Below are 27,675 nucleotides of genomic sequence, written 5' to 3'. Positions count from 1 at the left end.
AGAGAAGGTGGTTTAGATGCTGGCAAGGTGGACACACACCATCTGGAGCTTGCAAAGCATCATGAATTTGTGCAATGCTCTGGTCTTCTCACCCTGGTTCAATTTCAGACATCAAACTTAAGAGCTCAAAAGATAAATATTTTGAATTTATTTCAATATTATGATTTGTAATGTTCGACTTTTATTAACATCTTTCAAGTATTAAATTGTAGTATTTTTTCCCCTCAATGCCTCCAGTCTTGGGTTTGAATCTTTTGGAAGTCAACATTCACTTGTGTTCCATCATCAAAGCTGGTAATCAACTGTATTACTGGAAGCTAACTAGGGCTTTTTTTTTTTAATGCTACCCCCAAAAATTATTTTATTTAAATGAGTAAAAAAAGTAGTTTTTACAAGAACAAATTTGCTAGTAATTAGATGAACCAGTCTTACGTCTTCCAGCACTTGGAAACGTGAAATTCACCAGAACTCTCACAGCATTAATTAAAATGAATTTATGTTTTTTTAAAAAAATGCTTCATGTTTTAGCTCCTTCATTCTTCCACCAAATGTGATTATGTGGGGGCTGAAGGGAATTCAGGTTAATATGTTGACACACTTAACAATGCAGGGTCATGTTGCACAATACGCTTCACTGGTTTGGTTCAGTACACCCCCTGACAGGGCCTAATCATCCCCTGCCCTAAAGGCAGAGGGAAAGAGAGGATTTTAATTACTGCTCTGTATGCAAGTTTGCCAGCATTAAATTGAGACATAATTAGGCCTCTGAATTTTAATAATTGTCCTAGCTAATTGGGCAGACAAGTACGTTATACAGCATGCCGTGATTAGATAATTAGTATTTCCAAATGACAAAATTGGGCTCTTGATTACAAATTCTACATGAAGGAGGAAAAAGGTAGCAAGCAAATCTTTACAAGTCTATTAAGAGAGAGTTTAGCGATGTTGGTAATTTAAAGTCCATTAGGAAGCAACATTTCACTCTCAGAGCTGGATGTCTGAGACAAGGGCCTCCGGCCTCCTCTGGCTCCTCCTCACGGTGCTCTGTTTTCCCTGGGGTCTGCTGCATCCACCTTCCCCCATCAACCCCAAGGTTAGCAGCCATCATTGACCTTGGGTGAGGTCTGTTTTGCTAGATGGCAGGTGTAACTCTGAAAAAGAAATCACGAAGGGTAGGAAGGATAGAACAAAGAAGAGGTAATCTACCAAGGTGGGGAGGGGCTGTGTAAGTACCCAATGTGGCTTTCTATTGCAAACAGCTGTTCTTTCAATCGTCTCCCAGAATTTACCACTCTCATTGTATCATCAGCTCCACTAAAATCTTTTTGGTGGAAAAAAATCTTAAATCAAAATCTCAAATTTCTGAAGTATTATATTATTGGGATGAAGAGTGTGGGTATTGGAGACTGACTTGGATTTGAAGTCATCACTTACTAGGAGGGTGGTCTTGCATAAATTACTTAATCTTTCCAGGTCTCAGTTTTCTCTTTGGCAAAATAAAGAACCTTCTCCAATAAGATTGTTGAAATAATTAAATAAGATAATACACATACAGATGGTCCCCAACTTAGAATGGTTTGACTTAGCATTTCTCTACTTTACAACTTTACGATGGTACAAAAGTTCCTTCATTTATGATGGGGTTATGTTCAAATAAACCCATCATAAATTGAAAATATTGTAAGTCAAAAATGTACTTTCAACTTAACATATTTTTAAACTACAATAGGTTTATCAGGACAATCCCATCATAAATTGAGGTGCATCTGTAGTTTAAAGCTCAGTGCCTGGCATGGAGTAAATGTTCAATAAATATTAGCTGTTAAATGCAAATTAAATCAATAATATTGGAAGGCACAAGGTGAAGGTGCTGGGTCTGGCTCTTTGCTATGCCAGTCCTCAGATGAAGCAAGGTTCCCTATCCCCATTGCTTTCTGACAGAGGAATGTGGTACTTCATTTATGCTGTGAGGATGGGGGTGAAAGCCCAATGGCAACAGCTGCCTCCACAGCTCAAATACCCAACGAGATTTCCTTTCTCCCCATTCTTCAAGGGTTGGCATTGCAGATAAGCCCTCCCATGCAAAAGTCATGGGGGCACTTAACCTAAGAAGAATGTGGTATAAATTCTGCATCTTACCTTCACACCTTGTGATTCACTCTGCATGAATGTCACTTTATTACTACAAAGGCATAATTCTAGCTGCTAAATTTTTTTCACAATCAATAACCAGTAGTCTAGGCTCTAAAGCTATGTTTTTCAGGCAAAAGGAATATCACTTGGATGCAAACTAGAACCCTTCTAAAAAATGATTGATAGGTGGTTCATGGATGACTATCTGATGAAAGTTTGTAAGGGGAAAAACTCAGAAGTTCCAGATGTATATTCCTGACCACTGAGAAGGAAAATAACAATGTCTCCATGGCCTGGTCCAGTCAAAATAGCTACCAGGCTGAATCAGTATTTTTTTTTTTTTTTTTTTTTTTGAGACAGAGTCTCACTCTGTCACCCAGGCTGGAGTGCAGTGCAGTGGCATGATCTCAGCTCACTGCAACCTCCATCTCCCCCGCTCAAGAGATTCTCCTGCCCCAGCCTCCCGAATATCTGGGATCACAGGCATGCACCACCATGCCCGGCTACTCTTTTATATTTTTAGTAGAGACGGGGTTTCACCATGTTGACCAGGCTGGTCTTGAACTCCTGACCTCAAGTGATCCGCCCGCCTTGGCCTCCCAAAGTGCTGGGATTACAGGCGTGAGCCACGGCGCCTGGCCTAAATCGCCCTTTCTTATTACTTTCTTAGAACTTTGGGCTATCTCATTTATGAATGATGGAAGAGTTCTGCTGAGGATTTCAATTCAGAAAGCAGGGTTCTCTCTGTGGGTAAACTTCATATCACCCAGACATAATTTCTACCGAACATCATCAATTAAATAACAAGAGAGGAGGTCAACACCTTGAGACCTGAGGAAGAAGAAAAAATACTTATCATTAAGTGTAGGATGCAAACATTCTATTAGAAGCTTAGAAGCAAAGAGTAAGATATTATTTTCGTGGATACAAGAGAAGACAGAGAAAGACAGAGGGAGCGGCCCTTACGACTGATTTGTGTTTACACAATAAGGAAATCTCTCCTCTGGGGTCTCTCCGTAGTTCACAGGGACCCTGCTTCCAGGGGCACGCGTGGCGAAGAGAGTCCGTCCAGAGCTCCAGCCCTCACTGCACTTCCCAGGTGCCAAGACAAAACATCACTGGGTGGGGAGAGAACTGTCATGAGGATTATTCCCCCGCCACACAATGCTGAGCTTCTCTCCCTCTCTTTTTGAAGAAGTGCGTTTATGACTGATCGCTCAACACCTTGTTGGTTCTGATTGCAGAAAACACACCTTATAAATATATGATAACCATCCTGTAATAGAGAGTGTGACAATTTACTTCACAGTGCGTTTCGGGCTGCTAATTGATCGTTTCAGTCCAGGGACGATTTGGAATAAATTATAGCCATCAAAAGGATATCACAGCTCATTTTGGTGGAAGGGTTTCCACGTCGCTTCGCGTTCGTCTCCCGGAGAGAGCAGATTGCACCCGGCGGGCGTTGAGGAGCGGAGGGAGGGGGCAGGGGAAAAGGAGGCCAGCGGGGCGGGGATGGGCCGAAGGGCGGGGCCGGGGGGCGGGGCAGCGTCTCCCGCGGCGGCTGCAGGTCCGCCGCCGGACGGTAGAGGCCTCCCTTCCGAGGAGGCGGTGCTGGGGCGGGCGCAGGACTGCAGGCTGGGGCTCCGCTCCCCGGCGGGAGCCCGCGCGTGGTTCCCAGCGAAGTCCCCGCGCGGCTGGGCCCAGCGTGAGTATTCTCCGCCCGCTGTCCTCCCCCTGGAGGCGGCAGCGCCCGTTTATTTGAGGTGAGAGTCTCCCTCGGGCAGAGGGCCCTGCTTGGGGCGGGGGTGCTTGCGTGCGCGGGGTCTCACCTCCTGCCCGAGGCTTCCCCTCAGTGGGGCTGCTCCGCAGGGCAGACGCGGTGACCCAGGGCGCTGCGTTCTGCGCTCCTGGAGCTGGAGGTAGCGAGGCGTGGAGGCGCCGTGGCCCCGTTGGGGGCTTTGTGTGCACTTGGGGCTCGTGACTCGGATAGCTCTGGTTCCCACGTTGCAGTTGGGGAGGAGGCTAGTGGAGAGACCCAGTCTGGAGGGAGCTGTGCCCACCGCAAACCCCAGGAGAGGGCGTGGAGAGGGCCGGCCCGCCGGGACGGCGCAGCCAGGCGATGCCGGGGTCGCCCGGGGGTCGCTAGGGCAGCGGGTGACGCGCTGTGGAGCGCGGCGAGAACGACGGCCTCTGACCCCGGAGCGCTCGCCAAGGCCACGCCGAGGTGGCTGGACCCTGCCCCTCCCCGCTGCCGGCCTGGGCCCCAGCCTGCCTCAGAGACTTCGATTTCAGTTTCCAGCAAAAGTGTGTGCCATTGTGTGGTGGTCGTGGAGGAGGGAGACCCACGCGCCTGTCTATCGCTGGATGGGATTGGAATTTGAAGAAAAAATGTCCCTACTCCTGTTGCGGGTTCTTGCCTATCTGGCCGCCTCCAGTCCCGCCCACGAGACCTCCAGCTTTCATTTTCTTCCTGAACTAAAGCCCGAGGACTGAGGCCCTTCACGCGTAGCGTAGCCCCCACCCCCGGTGCCCAAAGCCGGCCATCGCACGGCGGTTCTTAGCTTTTTAGTCTCTGTCACGCTAATACATGCTGTTAGTCCAGGTCAGGGATGGTTCCATGCAGGCGATTTTGACAGCAGTCATCATACCAAGCTATTAGGAAGCGTGATGTCAGTGCGTTCTGGAAGGACAGATAATTTATAAACCAGTTCTTGACATGGTATCTTACAAGGAAACATCTGAAGCCATCAGTAAAAGAGGCATTTTAATTCACACACTAAAAATATTTTGTGTTTAGTTAACATCGTGCAAATGTTGAAAGAGGTAGTAGCATTTATCATTTTGTAGGTATTTATCAAGGTACTCAAAAAAGTCCCTATAGGAAGGAGGAGGTTTTTGTCTTATTTCCATTCTGACATAAACTGAGGAACAGAGATGTTATGTAACCAAATAGTCCAAGTAAGTTAGTGAGAGAGCTCTATTTATGTGACCAAACATTTTCTAAAACTGGAATAATAGGAAAAATCAAGTCCAAATTTAAGCAGATGCTTTAGGCTTAATATTATATGATAGCCAGAAGTTGTATTTACATGGACCAAATACTTTGGGAGGCTAATCTGTGGGAATTAATTTTATAGTGAACTCCATATGGGGCCCAAGATACAGTTTTCTTTTCCTCCATCCATCCATTCAATAAGTATTTATTCATTATCTATTATAGGTCCTCCACTTCCCTTTGCCATTGAACATGATCCCTATGGACCTTTAATAAGTAATTGTTGAAATGTAACTAAAATATGTATATTTTCTCCTTGCTCCAAGAAACTCAAGGAACATTATTATGAAAGAGTTAAAAACTGTGGCCTTTCTTTGATACAAATGGAAAATTGTGTTGATTACCTTTAAGTAGAAAGTCAAGGGAAAAAAATAAATTAGGAATCAGAAAGTTTTCTCCAGATTGTGCCGTATTCACAGTACCACACAGTACCATGTTTTTTTTTTTTTCTCCTTTAAAACTCATTAAGCAAAGTTTAAAGGGCATACATGATTGAAGGGGATATTCTTTTAATTACTTTAGAAAGCAAAATAATCCTTAAAAGGTCTTGCTCCTTATTTGGTATACTGGACGGGCTGGTTTCATTTGAGTTGAAAGCACTATATTTCTAGTTAAAATCAAGACCACATACAGTACCTTTTTTCCCCCCAATCTTAAGTCAGAATTGTCTACAATTAAGTAAACAAAATGCATCCCAAGTAGTCATACATACACCTGGTTAAAATTAATTGGTTTAATAAAAATATAAAAACATACTCAATATGTTTATCTCAGTTATAGTTTTCATCTTTCTTGGATAATGCTTGAAATCATTCAAAACAATATCTAGATCCTAAATATTAAAACATTTTGTGTGAAATCTGCAAGATGCACCTAAAGGATGTACCATTTTTTGAAGTACAATATGTTAGGAATAATTTTGTCCCTAACTCTCAGCTGGAGGGCTGAAACGGTATAACCAAGGTCTAACTAATGTCTGCATGTTAACAACTACACCAGAACTTACACAAACATTTTAGTGTGTTCTCATCTATCAAGTCATCTTGGAAGGCTGTCACTTATTGTGTAGGTGCTTCCATTGCTGCCATTGCTCAAAACGTTTCTGGAGCTCTTTGTTGGGCACTGCTTTCAGAACCCACAGCACATCTGGTTTAAGAGCCTTGGAGGTGGCAAGCCATCTTCCTTTAGCATCCTTCAGTGCTCTGAAGAATAAGGTGGGTGGTCAAGTCAGGATAATATAATTTGGGGTCAAAACAAGCTGAAAGAAAATTAGATGACTTCCCTCAATGACTTTTTAACTAGTTATAAAGTCATCATACTAACATATGGCAGCACCACTGGAATAAGAGTAGCTGCTAAAGGACAGCCTTAAGAAAAGTGCTACACATTCTCTTTGATTGTCAATGAATTACTAACTTAACAATCATATACATGTATAGTGCATTGGTATGCATGATAAAGACATTACTTCAAAAAGTTATATTGTCAAGAGTTTGGTTGGTTGATTCTAAATTTTTTGAGTGCACAATTTTGGTATGATTTAAAAAGCTAAGTTCTAGAATATGGAATTGGGTGGGAAACATTCAAGATGTCGTGGCTAAAATTAGGGTTGCCCTATATAATTCCACAGGATTGGCATTCCACATTCCTTGAAATATTAAAGAATCATACTCATTTAAGAAATCAAACATAACTTGTATTCTATTTGGTGAGCAAGGCTTTGACTATTACAAAAAACTTCCCCTTCTCCTAGCCTATGGGTGAGGCCTAACCTGTGAGGTCAAACACTTGTCATTTTTAGTAGTTGATCATAAATACAGACTGAAAAGCATATGTGTAGTGGAACCACCATATTGTTTTAAGTGAATAATATTCAACCTGCTTTACAAAATACAGAATCATGAAACTCCTAGCCCAGTGAACTAAGCTCTTATTATAATATTCAAGGCCAGAATGTGGGAGATGGTATGGAAAGTCATCCAAGGAAAAGAGTGGGATGGGGGAGAAAGAGGTTAGTCATGGGGCTTTTTAATTATAATTAGTTGTATTCATCTGAGGGAACAACTTACCATTGCTTTCCAAAAACCAGCAATTTAAAATTTGAGGAAATAATTCAAATTCAACTCCAGCTGAGACTATACAGAAAACCAAGAAAAGCAGAAAGAATGTAATTAGCTGAGTAGGAATTTTCCTAACAGTTCAAGTCTAATACCTTTAGTATTATATAGAGGGCCAAGGGATCATTAGTGATTAGCAAGAATCCAGACCATACTGATCAGGAGAGATCAAGGCCAATGGACAAAGATGAAAGAGCTTTCCTGCTTAAACCCAATGTTGCAAATGCTGATGCTCTTACATAGGGAAGGTCAGCCAGCAGACAAAGAAATAGGGCAGTCGTCCCAAAGCAACAAGTAGAGTCATTCCTCTCTTTCACTCCAGAGTTAGATTGCATATGGAGATTAACCAAGATTGAGCTGAGACAAAAAGAATATCATTCTTTCAGCCAGGTATAAGGTCTGGAACTGAGTCCTGTTTCTGCTTTGATGAACTTGGGTATTGTCCAGACATTGGGGAAGGGAAAACCTGCTGGGCCCTGGATACCAAGATTACACACCTAATTAAAAAGGTCAGTGAACAAGGTGGACAGACCCAATTCTAGATCTTTTCTGGGGAAAGACACCGGACTGCTTGTCCATTAGGTAGACAGAATGACTCTTAAAATGTATGTTAGATGCCAGGAGTGGTGGTTCATGCCTGTAATCCCAGCACTCTGGGAGGCCGAGGCAGGTGGATCACCTAAAGTCGGGAGTTTGAGACCAGCCTGGCCAACATGGTAAAACCCCGTCTCTACTAAAAGTACAAAAATTAGCTGGGCATGGTGACACACGTCTGTGATCTCAGCTACTCGGGAGGCTGAGGCAGGAGAATCACTTGCACCCAGGATGTGGAGGTTGCAGTGAGCCCAGATCGTCCCACTGCACTTCACCCTGGGTGACAGAGTGAGACTCCACCTAAAAAAAAGAAAAAAATAAAATTAGGGGTACAAGGGAGTATCAGTTATCTGAAGGGAGTATCAGTTATCTGGCAAACTATCCATAAATAGTACTTGTGGAAAAACAAGTAACAGTGATTTTAGCCTTCCTTTTTAAATGGGGAGCCTAACCATCATGACTACCCATCTTGTTGTTGTTGTTGTTGTTGTTGTTGTTTTGAGATAGGGTCTCACTCTGTCACCCAGGCGGGAAGTGCTGCAGTGGCATGATCTCAGCTCACTGCAACCTCCGCCTCCCAGACTCAAGTCATCCTCCTACCTTGGCTCCCCAGGTAGCTGGGACCTCAGCTGTGTGCCACCACGCCTGGCTAATTTTTTGTATTTTTGGTAGAGACAGGGTTTTGCCATGTTGCCCAGGCTGATCTTGAACTCCTGAGCTCAAGTGATACTCCCGTCTCAGCCTCCCAAAGTGCTGGGATCACAGGCATGAACCACCGCACCCAGCCATGACTGCTCAGCTTCTATAGATTTAAGAGTTCGTGCAAATATTTTAAAATTTGAGTCTAAATATTAAATTTTGTGTATAGTGTTTGTAGCTTCAGGAGTGGGGAGAGGGTAGTTCTCAGTATGGTCCAGGTAGTTGTAATAGAAGCCTGGTGAGTATAATTTGAAGTCCATCTCTTTTAAAGAGAGAGGTTCCTGTCTTTAGATTCCAAAATTCACATGTGGATCCAGAGTACAGAAAAGGTAGAGGACTGCCATGAGAATTGAGAAGTGGTAGAAAGAGTCCTGGACTGGGAGTGGGAACTAGGTTTATCATGTCCCAATTATGTTTCTTGAGGCAAATTTTAGTTTTCCTCATAGGCAAAATGTATATAATTGTAATATCTACTAGTCTACTTTGCAGGGTAGTTTGTGCCTTATCTGAGATGAAGTAAATGAAACACTTGCTGTGCATGCGCAGGATTTTGTGTGCTACAATGCAGGTTTTATAGGTGAAGGTAATGCTTATAGCCCTGGAGTTGTCCAAATATATGAACCAAAATATAAAGAAAGCTAGAAACCCACCTGTGGGAACTTGGGAGAATAGAATAGTTTTAGCGTGGATACCAGAGACAAATGGATAGTATAGTCATTACTCCTTTTTCAGATTCATAGGAAGTACCCTGTTGCCATTGCAAGAGATTTTGTTTTTACACTTCCTGAAGACCTGTTGTGTATAAAGTAACCTTAAGATAGCCCCCTTTATACTATCAAGCTCAATTCTGCAGCAGTGGCACTGAAAGGACAAACTTTCTTTGTGGAGAAAATTGACCAGACTCCTAGGCCTTGATTATTGTACTCCCAATGGTCCTTCTTTTCTTAGAGATTTCATTAATCCCCATTGCCATGTTCATACCTTAAAGGAGAAGAAGAAGCTGACTTGAGTTCTACAGATTGGCTTAATCGGTCAGCTATGAACATTTTCTAAAAACAGTTGTTATTCTTCCCACAGCAGCAATTCATTTCTTTTGCAGACACAGCAGGACCCCACCTCTCTGGACCCTGCAGACCATTAAAAGAAATTAACAGTTTAATTTTCTCCTTCTTTCCTCTGTGTATTTAAAAGGTACAGAGGATTAAGGGGGAAGGGCAGTTTGCCTCTCTACCTCACAGAAACCCCTGTACAGATATAGACAGCATCATTGGCTCCCACCAACATGAGGCATGGCTCCTAGAGAGGAGGGGGAAGTGGATGTGGGTGTCCTCAGGTGGGTATATACTCATCCTTTCTTCTGTTGAGTTGCCGGATTTCACCTCATGAAGAGTAAAAACAATGCCCCTTCTCTGAAGTCATGTTAGAGGGATGTTTTCTGGAGGCTTGTTGAGTATCCTCCATACAGGAATGCTTCATAAGTTCACATTGTGTGAGGGACCATGTATGTGAGCCAGGACAATACAGTCACAAAGGAAAAGGGGCATTTGATTCAGGCAGTATGTGTTTGAACATCAGATCTGCTCACCAGCTTAGTGGCTTGGGCAAATTTCTTCATCTCTCTGAGTCTCAGTTTCTTTATCTGCGAAATGGCAGTAATAACAGTGCTCACTTCTAAGGATTAGTGTGCATGAGGTGAGTGTATGACAAACGGGAGTTGTAATATTAGGCTCTGGGGAGTCAGGGAGGAATATAAATAAATATAAGGCAAATTCCCATCTTCAAGGAGCTTTCAGTTTGGTTGGAAGGGACTGAATAAAAATAAAGCTGACAATACAAGGCAGAAAATGGGAGCACCAAATGAGTGCTGCAGATGACAAATTCAGCAGTCTGCCAAGGACTAGGATGATGGTTGAAAGGTTTCAAGACAGAGGTGGGAGTTTCTCTCCGGATTTGCAGACTGGACAGGAGTCAGATATATGGAGTGAAATTGAGAAATCATCCAGATGACAAGAGGAAGGAGGAATCAGAACACACAGCACATGCATAGCAGGGGGGAGAGTATGCTGGAGTGGAAAGTATACCAGCTTTTGAGCCAGATGTAAGAATCCTAGTGCTGCTGTGAGACCTTAGTTGGACAAGTACCTTAACTTCTTTAGCCTTCTACAGCCTTAAAATGGGTATAATTATACCCATCTCTTAAATGGAAGGGATTAAATAAGATAATATTTGTAATGCCTAACATGGTGCCTGGCATCTTCAGTAAAATAAAGACAATTCACATGATGTTTTCAGCGGACAAAGAGAGAGCTGTCTGCCTGAAGAGCTGTCTGGCCTTGTGTAGGCTAGTAGTGGAAAACAAACCAGGAACAGCTAATTAATGCCTATGGGGAGGGTAGGAAGGAGGCTTGAAAGCCAATTTAAGAAGCTGGGGCTGGCCGGGAGCGGTGGCTCACGCCTGTAATCCTAGCACTTTGGGAGGCTGAGATGGGCAGATCACCTGAGGTCAGGAGTTCAAGACCAGCCTCAACATGGAGAAACCTCAACATGGAGAAAATACAAAATTAGCCGGGTGTGGTGGTGCATGCCTGTAATCCCAGCTACTCGGGAGGCTGAGGCAGGAGAATTGCTTGAACCTGGGAGGTGGAGGTTGTGGTGAGCCGAGATTGTGCCATTGCACTCCAGTCTGGAAAACAAGAGGGAAACTCCGTCTCAGAAAAAAAAAAAAAAAAAAAAAAAAAGAAGCTGGGGCTGTTATAGGCAATCAGAACTACCAAGGCAAAGTAGGGGTTTAGGATAGTTAATCTTAAGGCACTCTGAAAGCTGTATTTGAGGAAGGAAGAAACTCACTCCTTTATGTGTAAAGTGATCAGGGTCTAGATGAGGATGGTGGAAGGGTTAGTAGACCTGGCCAATGTCTTTTTAAAGTTATTTTCATAAAAGCAATTTAGGGCTCAGCAGTGTGGAGTAGGGGGGAGCTTTTTTGTTTGTTTTGTTTGTAGATTCCTAATATTTAGTATTGATTGTCTACAATAAAACTAGGATAGACCCACAACTTTGGAAAAGAGAGATCACTCAGCATTCAGGGACAGTACAAGGTGAGAAGTAATTCTGATGCTAAATAAGCCCTATAATTTGCTTCAACTTATAAAATAGCCCCTTTTAAAAGCCCCTTCCCCCTTCCTATTATTAATACAGATCAAGTGTGTTCCAACCACTGGTTTTCAGGAAGACATAAGTACAGATCATTTATCGTTGTATGGAGTTTGCAGTTAGGATTGTAACACCAAGAGGGGTTGGGGCAAAGGGCGAGGATGCTGCCAGCAAAATAGTAATGTTGATGATTTTATTTATTTGATAATAGTGAAATTCTGTTCTCTCCTGGGGTTTAGAAGTGATTTAATTAAAAAACAAACCTAGGAAATAGTTTTGGATACTAGGAATTAATTTATAATGTCTCACATTTTCTACCTTTCTCTTTTTTTTCTGTCTTTAGTAGTTTTGTAATGGGAGAATACATGGTAGATAATTCTGTTTCTAAGGAAAATCACACTGATTATGTATATGAACACTGGTTTTTAAAACGTTAGGAAATCCTAACTGTGGTAAGCCTTAAACATATTAAATAGGAACTGATAACCAACCTACCTCTGATTTCCTGAACTTTGCTGTTCTCTTATTGGGCTGCAAGGGCAACATTGTGCCAATAGCTCTGGGGTGCCTGAATAGTGCATTGCTTCCCTTGGAAGAAAGATGTACATGAAAGAAGATTGTGTGCAGTGGTTGACAAACACAGAAAGAAGATAAGTGACTAAGAAAAAGGTAGGCCCTGCAAGGTTAGAGGCAAAGCCAGCTGGCTTAGTCCCAGTGCTTCGAGCAGGAGGAGCAAGGAGTGTTCATTTCATTTCTTGTCTCCTGAGTTTATTTAAATCATCTGCTGGGAGGGGGGAAGGAAAGAAAGCATGATGTTATAAGGCTGATTAAGATGCAAACATGCAGATTATATCAGGCTACTGGCAGTCCTTTTCACTCCAGCCTAGAAAGAGAAGACTGTATAAGAAACCTGATCGAAGGGAAGGGAGAGGAGAAAGCAAAAGACATCTCTTCACTTTTTAATGAAAGAGTTTATGAATATCTATTGCTTTTGGATTTCTGGTATCCGTGCCACCCTAACAGATCATCCAAACTAGCCCCTGGCTGAAAGCCTGGCCAGGGGATTTGGACCAGCGGCAGATGCCATTGGGAAGAGGGTCTTCAGGGTCTGCTGGCATTAATTTTGCTAAAGAGACCTCATCAGAGACCAAGCCTCCTCTTGCCTACAGGTGGTGGGCCTTGGAGAGGGCCTCCATGGAGATTTCAGCCTTGCCCCCTCCTCCAACCTCTCTGCCTTCTGCTTTTGCATTGGGACCTCTCTTTCTCTCTTCCCCCTTTTTTCAATTAAATGAATTAATTACCAGGCGTTTAACTTTTTGCCAGGCTCTTTTATTATGCCCAGAGTTGTTGCTGAGTGGCAAAGGGAAGTAATAACATTCACAGTAAGGGGCAAATCCTGTTAATGAACAAATTAAAGTTCAAACAGTGATTCAAGTTCACAACCTCTCTGTGGCTCTTCTCTTTAATAAGAGTTTTACATGTTACTTTCCTCGCTCTTTTCTCCCTTTTATTACTTTTTAAGCTTTTCATCAACACTGCCGGGGCATATTTGAGGCTCCCAACCTTTCAGCCCTGACAAGGACTCGAGCAGTTATAATCCTGTCTTAATTTGGCAACTTTTGTAAAACACATAAAGGGCCCAGGGTCACCTTTGGTCGCCAAGGCCCTGGGTGACCCTATAGCTTCCACCTCCTGCCAGGGCTGCGTAGGCCACTCTTCTCGGTATTCATGCCCCTCTGGCAGTCAGGATCAGAAGATTCACCTTCCCGCCCCCGACACAGCCAGGCATAACCTGTCCACAAGTTAAGGGTTCGAGCCCTTTCTTCTCTCGGTCCCCTCTCCAACAGTCCTTTCTACCCAGCAGCGCTGTGGGGGGAAGGGGACGCCATGGGGAGGGAGGAGCCTACGGACTAAAAGCTGGAAACCTTTATGGGGAAACGGATTTGAGGTGGGACGGATGCCCGACTCCCTCTCCACTACCACTACCGAATGCTGCTCGCCTCGCTGAGGTCGCCTCACCACGCGGTTCCAAGGGCAGGAGGCCCAGTCCTCCTTAGTACTCTGACGTGAGCGGAGCCTGGGCCTGGCGGGAAGAGCTCAGGAGGGGTCCGGTCCCCGCCCACTCCTCTCCCCTCTCTCTCTCTCTCTCTTTCTTTTTTTTTTGTACTGTGGATTGCGTGGGGGTCTTTTCCACCTCCGCGCCGGCTTCTCACCACCATCCCCCGAGCATGGCTAGATATCATCACCATGACAACTGCAATCTATGAGCATACACATAATAGAGATGAAATAGACAAAAGATTAGCATGCCATGAAAAGTACAATAAGTTTCTTATTTAGCATTTAGATAACTGTCTTTCCTTCGGAGCAAGCTTCAAAGTTGAAGCCAGTTTAGACCAAGAGGATTAATTCTTTCTCCCGCATGCTTCATTGAATCTCTCATTACCAAACTTTGTCTGTATTGATGTAAGATTTGATTGAAGATTAGAGCATTTAGCAAATCTTGCTTTTCTGCATGTATCAGGTCCTTTCAAGCACGGATCTCGGTGCCCAGTGGTCAATACCCTTACTTTTATCCAGTGTCTGCTTCATTTAAACTTAATCAACTCCATCAATGAACTGGAACAGGGAAACGTCCCTGTGGTAAGAATGTTGTGCTTTTGTGGGATAATTCTTTGCTCTTTCCCGATCTGTTGGCGTTAAACCTAAAATTGCACTATGACGAACTTTTTTTTAATCAATATGATAATGACAATTGGGTCTGAAAGCTCTGGTGGGACTTGGAGTAGAGCGGGATCTGTCCCCCATTACCAAAATAACTTCTCGTTCTGCGATAGTCGAACTCCTTTTGTGTGGCTTTAATACCTTTTCTTCCCTGACATTGAATATTGCTCAAGCTGGAAAATGATGCATCTTTGTAGGGAAGGCTCGTATGTCACAGCCAGAAAGTGAAGCAGACCGATTGGTTGTGTGAATTATCTGACTTGCTGCAGTGAATTATTTGCACTGTTTCCCTACCTAGTCAACAAGTTCCTGAGGTATAGTAGAGATCAATCAAAACTGACAGCCCGCGTGTGAAGGCTTTACTGTGTAAATCTGGCGCACTCATCCTGGCCATGCCGGCCCTGGCATCTGTATATCATTTTTATACTGCTACCAGTAGAGCAATTTCAAAAGTATTTGCAAGGAAAATGCGTGTCCCCATCTGTTCCTGGAAGCATAAATGTGCCACCTTCAGAGGGTTTTCACTGGTAATCATATCTTTAATGATCAACAGACTAGTGATATATACCTTTCCATAAAATGGGGTTTTCTTCACTTTATTGTGATTGGCTAGAATAAATAGCTTTTCCATATGTTAGGGAGATAAAATACAAGATTAGCAGAGGTCGTTTGTTGGATAGTAAACAAAAGAAACAATTCATTCCAAATAATCTTGAAAAGAAGCAACGACAAAATTAAGTTGCAATCACAGAGTATCTGAGGCCCCAACATCAGAAAACAGACCTCGTTCCTCCTTGGAAAAGGAGCCGTTTAAGAGCAGAAACTCAAGAATCTTCTAGGGGACTCTGGTGACTTATTCTTGGAGTCGGAGAGGGGCAGGATAGGGAAGGAGAGAGAGGCTGGAATAATACTTGTTTGTTCAACTTTGTAGGATTGTATTTCCTTTCTCTTATCTCAGGTGCTATTTGGCCGCCTCCACTGCAGCACCCTGGGTAAATTGGTAGGTGATGTGTTCAGAAAGCAGGAAAATGCCACTCTGCTGAATTTCTCTTCAGGACTTTCAAGGAGATGGGGATTGTTCACATACTTTAAAATAAAGGTTAACTTCCCCTAGCCAGAGATTTCTTTTCCCATAGAAAAAGATGTTGGAGGGTGGGGCAAAGTTCCCAGCTTTACGTGAAATTCCAAAACCTAGGGAAAGGGGCCTCAAGAGATAGCCAAAACTCACTGGAGAAACCCTAGGAAATGTTCTTAGTCATCGAATCCCACCTGTATAGGTAACAGTCTGCAGATACAATCAGGCCCTGACCACTATCCCTCCTCCTCCCACACACCCACTCTCAGTGCCAAGATTCCTTTTTCTCAGATGCAGCCACTTTCAGTTTGCTGAGCCATCTGTTTTTTTTTTTGTTGTTGTTGACAGGGTTTCGCTCTCTCACCCAGGCTGGAGTGCAGTGGCATGATCTCGGCTCACTGCAACCTCCACCTCCCGGGTTCAAGTGATTCTCATGCCTCAGCCTCCCGAACAGCTGGGATTACAGGTGCCTGCCACAACACTGGGCTAATTTTGTATTTTTAATAGAGACCGGGTTTCGCCATGTTGGTCAGGCTGGTCTCAAACTCCTGATCTCAAGTGATCTGCCCACCTCAGCCTCCCAAAGTGCTGGGATTACGGGCGTGCTGAGCCATCTTGGCGAAATTTGGAAGCTTCTCCTTCAAGATTCTGGGCGCAGAGGTTTGGAGGCAGTGACTGCCTGCTTAGGAGACTACAATTCTATTTTGTTTCCAGGGTTAGGACAGAACTTCCCATTCCACAAATATTGTATTGGTTGCAGGTCACCAGAATCTGAATGATGCCCTCAGCCTTTGTGCTCTCCAGAAAATAGGTGTGAGCTATGAGGACCTGCTCCCTATGGTCAGGACTTGAGAAGGAGTTGGGGGAGGTTCTCTTTAAACATTGGGAACAGACTCTGGTTCTGCATTCTTTCCTGTTGTCTCTTGTTATGTATATGTTATGTATTGATGATCTCCCCATCCCCTCATCCCCACTGCTCCCACCCTTATTCCACAGAATTCTTTGCTCTACCCAAATGCCTACTGCTCTTATTATAGCAGGAGTGTGTAGCAGAAGTGTGTTAGTTTCAATGTGGGAAAGGTGGTCTGTAGGCAGGTCCCAAGCAGAAAGTTTCCATTAGCATCTCAGATCAAATTTGTGTTAATTTCCTGGCCCTAGAGAGACTTGGGAAAAACTTTTAGGACAGTAGAAAAACAGCTCACCCAAAGCCCATGGTGAGAAAAAAAATGCATAACTAAGGAAATACTTTTTTTTTCTTAATTTTAGAAACACTATATACATATATATATATATATTCCTTTATATATATATATTCCTTTATATATATATATATATTCCTTTATATATATATATATATATATATATTTTTTTTTTTTTTTTGAGATGGAGTTTCACTCTTGTTGCCCAGGTTGGAGTGCAATGGCACGATCTCAGCTCACTGAAACCTCTGCCTCTCGGGTTCAAGCGATTCTCCTGCCTTAGCCTCCCGAGTAGCTGGGATTACAGGCATGCACCACCACGCTTGGCTTATTTTGTATTTTTAGCAGAGACGGGGTTTCACCATGTTGACCAGGCTGGTCTCGAACTCCTAACCTCAGGTGATCCACCTGCCTCGGCCTCCCAAAGTGCTGGGATTACAGGCGTGAGCCACCACGCCCAGCCTAGAAACAGAATCTTATAGGCTGGGTTGCACATAGGCAGGTATGGACATATAAGTCTAGATTTACAAGTAGGTCACACTGACCTGAAACCACATTTCCTGTAGTATGCAATTAGACTGAAAGAAAGTCACATCTGTGTTTTCCACATTGTGATGTGATGCACTGCAGGTCTTCAGTGAATTCGCTTGCCACAAGGAAATTCTGGCATGTGTTGTATGTGAAATGTGATATGTACTTAATTTAAAAAATTGAGTTTCGTGATTTCTGTGTCTTTAAATTTGATACACGTTTTGTATTGAATTTCTATGTTAATTGTTTTCATAAAGTGAAAAGAAGTAAAAACCTCACCAACTGGTTTTATGTAGAAGAGGTAAATCTGTGACGTTTGCTCCTTCTCTTGTCCAGGAGGATGAGGCTGTCACTACTACAGTTGGGACTGTTTCATACTCCGTGCTCTTGTGCTATGCCAGGGGGTACTGTCTAACCCACAAGTCTCTGCCAGGAATGTTGCTGTCCACACTGGAGTGTAAGACACCTGCGGAGCTCGTCTATGGGGCTCATGTTGGCTGAGGCTCTGAACTACAGAACTGCAAACAACCAAGGGAGCGCCCCAGGCCCCAGGTATTCCTAAACCTTAGATCAGAGCCATTTGCAGCACAGAGTTGTGTGCTGTTTCAAAACCACAGACCCTGTATATACGCCCCTCCATTGCAGAGGTGGATGTCTTGGCAAATGTAGGACGAGGATTGAAAATTAAAAAACAAACACACCGTGTTCAGGGTGAAAATTACATACATTGACAATACTGTCTCTTTTCCTCCACAATCTTACTGCCACCAGGCAGCCTCAGTCAGTCCGTGCTTATTTCACTGAAAATGTACTTAATCTCAGAAAAGCTATCTATATGTAAGAACATATTTTGTTAATCAATTTTATGAAAACAAAACCCCTCTCACCTTAGTTGAATAAAGTGCTAATTTGAAATACTGCCTCATGATTGTAATATGCACACATATGTAATAGTATTTGTTTTTTAGGTGTCCCTTAACAAGACAGGGATGAGCAAACTATATGGTGCGTGCTGGAAAGAAATTCAGTTTTAAATGACCTTAAGGAAATGGCTTGTTTGGTTAAGGAAAATAAACTCAATTGACAGTTAAGGTGAAATGAACTTGTAAAATTTCGTATCAATTACAACTCTTATCGATAAAATGCCACCTGGATCTTTAAAATGCCAAGGTGTTCAAAGTTATCAGAAAATTTAAAATTGGGGGGGGGGGGTTGAAGTATTTTTGTTGTTGTTGTTATTGTTCTCCCTCGCACTAAACAGCATAGAAGTAATAGTTTCCGTCACTTCAGGCTTCTATTGGGGGATTTTCATCTTGTTCCAGAAGGAAGTAGCAGGAAAGCAACTTGTATAGGTAACAGCCTCAGTCTAAAGGGCATTATTTCCAGGCAGAATTTCTATAGTTACCCTTGTCTGGGAACACTGTTAAGGGATATGTTTTAATTTTAGGTCAGAACAACTGGGTTAAGCATTATGTAAGATCTGGAGAAAACACTGATGAGGGAAGGTGGAGGAGAAAGCAAGCAACATTAGTTTACTGCGCGGCCAAAGGACTACTCCAGGCACCAGTGAGGAAGGGTAATTTAGATTTCTAGTGGGCACCCTGCCGGCCCATTTCATAACAATCAGGGGGCCTGGAGTGGGGGGGCTTGCGGGTAGTTGATATCAAATCCCGGTCTCTCTCACTTCCGCTCAATCGGCTTTTGGCCAAAGACGAGTATCTTCTTCCTGGACTGCCTTCTCCCACCCCAACCCAGACACCAAGGGGACGCGACAGCGGTTTTGGGACGCTGGCTGATCATCTGAGAGGAGGCGATCCCGGCCCCGCTGGGCGTTCAGGATCCCGATCTGGATGCCGTCCACCCCGCCCCGCCGGGGGCTGGGGCGAAAGCGGAACAAGTCGGCGGGGCTGGTTGGGCCGCGACCTCCGGGGCACGTGGCCGCAGACAGTGCCCGTGCCGGGGCGGGGAGGCGAGTTCTCCCTGCGGCCGCGGACCCTGGATGGTGGCGTCGCCCGAAGACGCGCCTCACCGGCCTGGGTGGGGTTGCCTTTTGCCCTCGAGGCTGGCCTAAGCGCTGGGGGGCCGCTGGCTAACCCTGAGGTAGATACTCGGGAAATGGGTGGAATAGGGAAAGGGACTCAGCCCTTCCGCCCTTTTCCCCAGTCGAGGCCCGCGTCACTGCCCTGTGGGTGCAGACGCCTCCAGTGTCACTCCCCTGGATTTCGCTTGGGCAGAAGAAGAGATTGTAGGCCGGACCCCAACGCCGAAGCCCTGAGGTGAGAGGGGACGGGGAGTCTCCGCTGCGACTGGCGGCCCCTCCCTCAGGCACCTTCTCCTAACATTTCTGACTAAACGCCCCCAGGGGCGAAAACCGCTCCTCCTCCCCAGTTCCTGCGCTCGGTGGCCTGGGGCTCGGGGTTTGGGGGTTGCTCCTCGTCTGCCTCGAGGCCACTCGCTCGCGCTCGAGGGTCCTCTCCCGGCCAGCCCCGTGGGCTCGCCCCTCTCAGCCTCCTGCTGGACGTTGTCTGAGCTCCTCGCGGGCGCCGCTTGAAAGTGGGCCCAACCCGTGGGGGCGCCGGGCTGGTCTAGGCTCTGCCCTGGGGCTTCTGCGGCCTGGAGCTGAGGAGCCGGGGCCTTCGCGCCTCTCGGCGCCGGCTCCTCGCGTTGCTCGAAAGCCCGTCTGAGTAATAGTCAACTGTTTTTGTCACTTTCTTAAGATGCATCATCCCTGGTCTCTCTTGTTTCATTACGAAAAATCCCAGAGAAACCACCCGGCAGGATCAATCAGACGCAGGCAGCCAGACAGTTTTCTTGTACTTTATTAAAGTGTAATCAAACATCGGTTAAGTGGAAAATAAATATCCAGATCTAATAAGCTGCTCAGTCAGATCGTGTAAATGCAAATTACAAGCTGGTTCCCATCTTCCCGCCAGGGGATTGAACAAGCCACAGCAATTGCTTCATCCACTGCGATTGTAAATCAACTAAAATAATGGCTGGATAATGACCAGTTTGCGGTTTCAAGCAGATTGAATGATAACAAACTGCGTGTGTCGCACCAGCTTTTCATTTAGCATCTCATCATGGAGCGAGCAGCCCGCCTAACAGCTTGGCTCCCTCATTAGGTTGTTGTCTGCAGCTTGTAAATTCACACTGCAGCCAGCAGATTACCTGACAAACTTCTTGATAGGAAAAGCTAGACAATTCAATCCGGCCCATCAATCCCTCCCTGCGAAGGCAGGCACATTGATCTATTGCTGAGCGCTGCGGCGAATTGATAACAATATGATGCCTCCTAATGTGGTGGAGGAAATATGTACGCATGTATACATGCAGAAATATATAGGGAAGCACACTCATGGGTACGCACGCGAACAAGAGCCGTGTGTGCAGGAGAGAGGGGTGCGCCACAGACACGCCGCCCACCGCAGCCCCAGCCTCTCGCGTGGGGCCTCTGCCCGCACACACGCAGCCAGGCACTGTAAGCATCTTCACTTTTTGTTTTTTGCTGATGTTGATTTAGTTGCTAATTGGTGACAGAAATTGTCAAATAGGTGGCAGATAGCGACTGCGGAAACTTCCGTTGAAGGAGGTGAGAAAATCCTTTCAAAGATGAACTGCCGCCTGAAAAGGGATGGCTCACTAAATTTCTCCCAGATATTTATTGCTCGTATTAAAAAGATAAATCAGAAAAGAGGAGCGAAGGCATAAACCAGGTATTACAAATGCCATCTACTCTTTATTTAGAACATAGATCACGGTGTTTGTTTGTGGAATCTGTTTGCTTCTAGGATGTAATTTAACATACTAACACTCAACCTATTTAAACAGAAAGACAGATAAAGGCTTACTGGGGATCTCTGGGGGCGGCTGCACAACCCTGCTTTGACTTCGCCTTTCCTCAGGAGCATAAAATGAACAGTAATTAGGCTTTGATACTCTGGCAAATGAACAGTAATTAGAATCTGCTACCTCAAGTCCTTAACTCCACTCCTCATAGAATATTCACACCATTATTGAACATTTAGATTAGGCAGCTTCTATTCCCACAAACGTGGCTTGCCACAGCCCACAGATGGCCCAGGGAAAGAAGAGAGACGATTCGCCAGAGCCTTTGGACCCACAGAGGGGATTTTCTGGTTATTAGAACCCTACTAGATCAGGGCCAATTATAAAGAAAACTGTCAGTCAAGAGAAAATTGCTACATGATTAGTGAAAAGGACAAAAATCAGGTGAAAAGTGTGAATCATTCAGGCAGCTTTGATTTGCTAATCAGGGGAAGGAAAAGAACAGGAAAGTCCCCAGCTGTATCCCTGGTTTACTCTTTTCATTTTATCATGACCTTCTTAGCAGTTACTGATATAATCTCTGCGAAAAAAGAAACAAGCAACCCTCATAAGCACAGAGACCCAGCTCCCAGTGAGCAGGGGAGGTCATGCAGTGTAAATGAGATGAGGAGACCCCGATAACAATGACGGGAGCATGAATAATCAAGGCTTGGGTCTCTGTAGTTACAAGGGCAGGAGATTCCTAATTATGTTAATAGTTTTTAATAGACTAATTCCCACTGAAAAGCCTTTGTGGAGAGACACTGCCTTCTCTGGAGAGAACCATGTTAAGGAACAGCAGGAATGATGTTTATTTTTTTAACCACATTTCTGGGGGAAGCTTCTGGATGGCTTTCTGGTGGAGTATGACATTGAAGGGTGTGGTGGACCCCTTTGTCAGGGCTGGCTGGGCCTGTAGTTTTCCGTCTAGAGAAAAGACAGGTAGCACCAGAGAAGTATATAATGAAGATCAGAGACTAGAGATTGTGACAGCTCTGGCAGCTGATGTATTGGGTCCATGCTAATTTTAGACAGAGGCATTGATGGATCCCAAAATCTTGACCACACATCCCATTAGCCTCTGTCTATGACAGTGGGAGAAAGATATTAAAAAACAGTACAAGTGCCAAAAAAAAAAGCTGACTGAAAGGTGCGGAGCAGTCAAAAAGCCTCAATAAAATCTGAAATAGCTTCAAAAAATATTTCCCTGATATCTTACTATTAAGTTAACCTTGTGGCAGGAAAGTAGGAAGCTAGCTTTTTATTTTTTTCAGACATTTGAAGCATAGGAAGCAGTTCTAAAAGAATTCATTCCATTTAGCAGATTTACAGATGGAGAGGTATAACTTTAGTAGGGCTTCAGATTTTGTGTCGATTAATTATTCCCTGAAGCCCCTGAAACTACAAAGAGCTGTAACATTTTCATACAATCCCAGGGAAATGCTGCAGAAAGCTTTTGTTTGTAGTTGGTTGTTGGCACAGAGATCCCCATCTCTTGCTGAGCTCCTCAGTCCCTTGCTTCTCGACTGTGTGTCTGATTGAAATTGGGTGCTGGCATCACCCGGGTCCAAAAGAACTTTGGAAATTATTTTGATTATTCAAAAGAGCAAGCTGGAAGGAAATTTCGGCATTGGCATTAGAGAAAGGGTCCCTTTCTTTTTAAGCTAGAGAGCATGAGATATTTGGTGGTTGCTCTGGAAAGTCTCAGAATGCGCACCCTCTCTCTCTGCATCCCCCTAACACTCCTAATCCCGCATCCTCAGAACCCACCAATAATGAAGAACCCAAGTGTATCTTTTTTATGACTCTTTCGTCTTATTGTGCGGATCAGGCTAAAATTTTTGACACATTGCCTAAAATATAAATGATCTCCTCTTTGGACAAATAGGAAAGCTGGTTGGAAGTAGCTCAGTTCCAGTCAAAACGGTATCCTCAGTTTAAAGTTGACAAATAATGCTGCATGAAGCTTAGAAACTGAGAGGTTACCTTGACAGACAAGGAGCACAATTATCACAATATGATGAAAGAGCTTCCATGAGTATGTATTGCACCGTTAATTACTGTCCTTTTTCTACAGGCTTCTAATGTGAGGAAAAACACGGAATGACAAGTGTGGGAAAGAGCAAGCACTAAATTACTGTCAGAAAAATAAACGGAGTAGCACAGTGCTGCTCGGTGATTTACGGGGGCAATTAGTCACCACCCCACGGCGCTGCTGAGGACAGCACGGCAGCAGACAAGTCAGGCCCATGAGGAAGAAGAGGCTTTGCACTGCTCTCCAGACAACTTTTCAAACAACAAGAGAGGATATTTGAGCACATTAGGTTTTGTGTCTTCATTCTGGGTACCTACTCTTCATATTATTCTACCAACTTAATACATAAACATATTTTTAGCACAATATGAACCTGTTCTATGTGTGTTTAAAAGCCTCCAGCAGCAACTTTTTTCTCTCCCACTGTCCAAAGTTGGGTTTTCCCCATCCCTTAAAAAACAAAACAAAAAAACCTTTCTTCACTCCAAATTGTCCCCCTGGTGTGTGGTTTTGGTCTTTCTCATTACTTCTTGCATCTTGCTACATGTTCTGCATTTGCTCAGAGCCACTGGGTGCTAAGGAATTTGGTCTGCTGCTCCTCTGGGAAAGTTTGGTAAGCTGGTACAAGGAGGTGATGAACAAGGCTAAATGAAAATCATACATAAACTTCCCAATATTTGTGAACATGTTCTTTAACATACCATACATAGTTTCTATGTATATGTAACATAGCAAAACAAACTTGCTAAGGTATAATTAATTGGTATGCATGCCTTCATAAATATTCACCATCAGAAGAAACCTAGAATGAAAGGTTGTGAAAGAACCCAGGAATGAGAAAGACTTTATTGACTAAAGGCCATGTCTATGTAGGGGCAACAATGAAGCTGTGGGTGAGCAAATGAAGCTTCATCAGGAGTTTAGTATCCTTATGTAGCATTACCTAAGAATGCTACCATAGTAAATTTCTGAAGTACTTTACCTGTTACAAAGAACGTTTGTAATCTCCTTTTCTTATTTGATCTTGCCCTGGCTTTAGTCAGGAACACCTGCTCAGTTAGAAATGTATTCGGTGGGTATGTACGCAGTTGGAGAATGTGCCCCAACACACGCCGCCTTTGGCCTGTATGTTGGAGTCCTAGAGAGGCAGACAATGTTGATGAGCTTGGTACCAGCATGGTGCGCCATTCATCCGGACACAATTTCTGATAAAGAGGGTCACAACTGGGAGAAACCTCAGATTCTACTTGCTTCTCTTCTCCACGTTATTAGACTTTTTTTCCCCTCTTGAATTTTATAAGCACACTCCTTTTAAAACAATTAATTAATAACGAGCACTGGGATTTGATGTAGAATTGCGTATTTGTAACTGCAATGGCACTGGTTTTCAACTACCCTGTAACAAGGAAGCAATTCTAACCAGCAAAAGAGGCAGACGTGTTTCTGTGCAACATCACAGGCGTGTGAAATTGTTCAGATATTGAGATATCAGGAGTGATATAAATTGGAAATTTAACCAAAAATATTTTCCATCAGTGAACAAAGCCGATTTTAAAGTGCCTCTTGCATTTTTCAGATCTTTCTCTTTCTTTTTCCCAAAGTCACATTGTAGTTTCTGATAAAGGAACACACTGGGAAAACTAAGCACATATTTAATCAATGAAATTTAAGGTGTAAAAATTCTGCATTTCTGACAAATTTAATGTTCACTTTTTTCTTGATTTAAATAGAGCATTCTAAAAATATTACCCCTATAGGGGATAAATTTTTATATGCATGTTATTTTTCTTTACAAAGTGTGGGCTAGTAAAGAGTGAAAAAGACCTTGGCTATTGTACTTATTTCTTGAAAGAAATAATAGCATCTTAATGACTGGATTCAAATCTCTGCTTATCACACAACTTCCGTACAGTTCAAAGAGAGGACTTGGATTGAATGAAAACAGAGAGCTGGGGCTTCCTACATTCCCCTGTGTTTGTGTTCATACAGAATATTTATGCAATATTCTGACTTGGCCATAATCTGTAATTCCTGCCTATTATTCTCAGTTGCAACTATAAATTCTAGATTAATGGTTATAATTTTGGTAAGGCATACATGAAAAGTTATATGTTCCTGCTTGAAAGGAGGATCATTAAATATTCATTATTACCACTCAAATTAGTTGTCATGCTCTGTGTAATAGTTACCCGTTATCATTTCACTAGTTTGGATTCAGCAGTAAGTGAACAGCAATATATAGCTCATAGCGCCAGAGGACTTTTTTTGTCGGGGAACAGGGAGAGAAATGATTTTAAAACCCATTTGACATATTTATGTTGACAAATTATTTAAAGGAATTACTGTGTTGTAATAAACATGTTTGTATGTTGGAATAGGATTGTGGCTAAATTTGCTTCTAGCTGTTTAATTACTCTTATTATGATTGTGAAAAACAGTGCTTCTTCAAGTAGTTCCAAGGAAAAAAATAGAAAATGGAAAAGTTGAGCTATTTCAGTCTTTTGCAGGTATCTAACCTTGCCATGAAAAAGCACTTTTCATTTTTGTAAGTAGATATTGAAATCTTGCTTTTTCAGCGAAGCTAGATTGTATAATTTATTAGTTTTCTCCACCTGGTAACACATCCTTAAGAAAAAAATTGCCAAAAGTAAAGCATGAGATGGATTTTAAAATAAATGTTGTGGATGAACACATATAGAGATCGTGCTTTGCCAATCCATTTTGGGAAGATATGAGTAAAAATAAATCCAGAGATATTTTAATGTAAAAACATTTTGCTTTTGTCTTCCACATACGTTGGTATGCCAGTTCAGTTATGTGAAGATATTAGGGCAGCCACATTTTTTTTGGATCACAGGTATGAATCATTCCATACTCCTCAGTAATTTTAAATTGGTTCTTTTCCCATGGAAAATAACCATAAATTTGATTCTGATCTCATCTTTAGAGCTTTCTGTTTTAAAGAGTCAAATTGCAGCTGATGAACACATTTTGCATTTTTTCACATTGCATCTGGACTCTTCATAACGATGGTTTATTTTATCTTTTCTGCACAGAGGAGAGGAAAAATATATAGGTCCATGAATCAATCTAGATAATGGGGAAGGCTGACTGTAATAAATAATACAGTAACAACCCTAAACTAATGAGCTGTTGCTAAGGTACATTTCATAGGCTCATCCTGTATATAAAAAGTCACTAATAACCCCTTGGTGTAATCAGATGATAAAGCTTTGCCATAAGGCAACACCTGTGCAATTAGAACTGCAGATTCTTTTGCACGTTTCATTAATTTCAGGATTTTGTAAAGGCACAATGACTACACTAATAATCTAGTCTACTTGACTCCATGTCTACTGGAAACAAAGTGTCTAATTAGATAAAGGTAATTAATTAGAGATAAATGGAGCTAATCAGGCTCAGTTAACACTAATTCTCTGAATTAAGACATTTTGGGACACCTACTATCCCGCTGACTTTGATATTTTGCATTAAGAATAGGTTTAGAGGAGTCAGAAAATACTAGCATTTGAGAATTGAGCAGTCTTTTGATGACATATTTAGGTATCTGAAGCTAAAGAAGAGTTTTTTTTTTTTCATATTGTACTATTTCACCACCTTTCGATAGCAGCTTAAAGAATTCACTTTGTAGTTATTCCAATCTATGCTAGTCTCCGTATAAATTTTAATAACCTTTGCTATCATTTTTATTATCTGTCTGGCCCACCAATGGAAGAAAATCACAGGTTGTTCTATCTCTTAAATAAAGACTTAACTTGTTACATTAAGGAAATGTCAAGACTCATCAGCCTATATCCTAAAATTCTGATCCTTTAAAGAGAACAAACACCTAAAATTCTGATCCTTTAATTCCGATTCTTTAAAGAGAACAAACCTCTGCTTTGCAGTGTTGGAAATTCAATGATGTGGCGAAAAGAGCATGGGCTTTGAAATCAAAAGACCTGAATTCAAATTCCTGTTGTATTTCTTACTAAATGAGTGATCTTAGAAAGTAGCTTAACCTCTGTAAATAAAATAGAAATAATATTGATTCACATAATACTAATATTAACTTTACGGGGTTGTCATGAATATTGAGTGAGGTAACTATATATTGGTTATTATTACCTGTTAGGCTGGGATTGAACACATAACCCAGTACCATATCTCAACTGACTACAAGATTAGGTGTTAAAAACATTACATTTTCATCTCAACCTCATGATAATCTGTGAGCTGCATTTAAATGTGTAGAAAGGGACACATTAAAAATGTTCTCCCAATTAGTCCATCAGAAAAAAACAAATCCCCCAATTTTTTAGTTGAAGAATGTGAATTTATCTGCCTTGGTTCTCTACATTGAAATAGTTATCCCTCTTGGCAAGTTGTTCCCAGTCCTCAAGAGAACAGAATTGAACTGTGGGATATAGCTTAATATAAAGTGGACATTTGAGTCTTCTAAAGTGTCTCTGAGATATGCCCCTTGCTCTCTCTGGTCTCTGTTCTAACTTACCTGGACTACTCCTAGATTGCTC

The 27,675-nt window shown here is 42.8% G+C and overlaps 3 long non-coding RNA genes across 6 annotated transcripts in view, besides 6 other annotated features; 1 reads left to right on the top strand and 2 right to left on the bottom strand.

Moving 5' to 3' along the window:
- Positions 1 to 479: 479 nt before the first annotated feature.
- LINC01763 (long intergenic non-protein coding RNA 1763) lies at positions 480 to 3,620 on the bottom strand. Its single transcript, NR_146610.1, has 2 exons — positions 3,100 to 3,620; positions 480 to 1,151 (listed from the first exon to the last, which is right to left on the bottom strand). It is a non-coding gene; the product is annotated as a long intergenic non-protein coding RNA 1763 (long non-coding RNA).
- Positions 3,603 to 4,002: a silencer, noted in NCBI's record as "silent region_1063". NCBI's record gives its function as "represses an Ori minimal core promoter by ATAC-STARR-seq in GM12878 lymphoblastoid cells {active_cell/tissue: GM12878}" and the evidence as "EXISTENCE:reporter gene assay evidence [ECO:0000049][PMID:35858748]".
- The window catches only part of LINC02609 (long intergenic non-protein coding RNA 2609), a 68,667-nt gene continuing 44,720 nt past the window's right edge, over positions 3,729 to 27,675 (top strand). Inside the window, exons 1-3 of one of the 4 annotated variants that reach the window (NR_147931.1) lie at positions 3,729 to 3,896; positions 17,614 to 17,829; positions 23,183 to 25,832. This is a non-coding gene — a long non-coding RNA (long intergenic non-protein coding RNA 2609). Of the gene's footprint in view, positions 3,897 to 17,613; positions 17,830 to 19,217; positions 19,554 to 23,182; positions 25,833 to 27,675 lie in introns of those variants that run through there. The other 3 variants (NR_147930.1, NR_147932.1, NR_135038.1) reach the window with 3 other exon arrangements.
- Positions 4,196 to 4,696: an enhancer, noted in NCBI's record as "H3K27ac hESC enhancer chr1:91316240-91316740 (GRCh37/hg19 assembly coordinates)". NCBI's record gives its function as "activates a minimal SCP1, AML or CMV promoter by ChIP-STARR-seq in primed H9 embryonic stem cells {active_cell/tissue: H9 hESC(primed)}" and the evidence as "EXISTENCE:reporter gene assay evidence [ECO:0000049][PMID:30033119]".
- Positions 4,293 to 4,412: a silencer, noted in NCBI's record as "silent region_1062". NCBI's record gives its function as "represses an Ori minimal core promoter by ATAC-STARR-seq in GM12878 lymphoblastoid cells {active_cell/tissue: GM12878}" and the evidence as "EXISTENCE:reporter gene assay evidence [ECO:0000049][PMID:35858748]".
- LINC02788 (long intergenic non-protein coding RNA 2788) lies at positions 5,907 to 19,716 on the bottom strand. Its single transcript, NR_186594.1, has 4 exons — positions 19,460 to 19,716; positions 9,580 to 9,725; positions 7,258 to 7,323; positions 5,907 to 6,390 (listed from the first exon to the last, which is right to left on the bottom strand). It is a non-coding gene; the product is annotated as a long intergenic non-protein coding RNA 2788 (long non-coding RNA).
- Positions 13,721 to 15,374: an enhancer, noted in NCBI's record as "VISTA enhancer hs612". NCBI's record gives its function as "enhancer in: forebrain[5/6]" and the evidence as "EXISTENCE:transgenic organism evidence [ECO:0001131][PMID:17130149]".
- Positions 16,188 to 16,712: an enhancer, noted in NCBI's record as "OCT4-NANOG hESC enhancer chr1:91304224-91304748 (GRCh37/hg19 assembly coordinates)". NCBI's record gives its function as "activates a minimal SCP1, AML or CMV promoter by ChIP-STARR-seq in naive H9 embryonic stem cells {active_cell/tissue: H9 hESC(naive)}" and the evidence as "EXISTENCE:reporter gene assay evidence [ECO:0000049][PMID:30033119]".
- Positions 19,980 to 20,619: an enhancer, noted in NCBI's record as "H3K27ac-H3K4me1 hESC enhancer chr1:91300317-91300956 (GRCh37/hg19 assembly coordinates)". NCBI's record gives its function as "activates a minimal SCP1, AML or CMV promoter by ChIP-STARR-seq in naive H9 embryonic stem cells {active_cell/tissue: H9 hESC(naive)}" and the evidence as "EXISTENCE:reporter gene assay evidence [ECO:0000049][PMID:30033119]".

This window comes from Homo sapiens, chromosome 1 (assembly GCF_000001405.40).
Source record: "Homo sapiens chromosome 1, GRCh38.p14 Primary Assembly".
Classification (NCBI taxonomy): Eukaryota; Metazoa; Chordata; class Mammalia; order Primates; family Hominidae; genus Homo; species Homo sapiens.
This window is presented reverse-complemented; position numbering and strand designations above follow the sequence as displayed.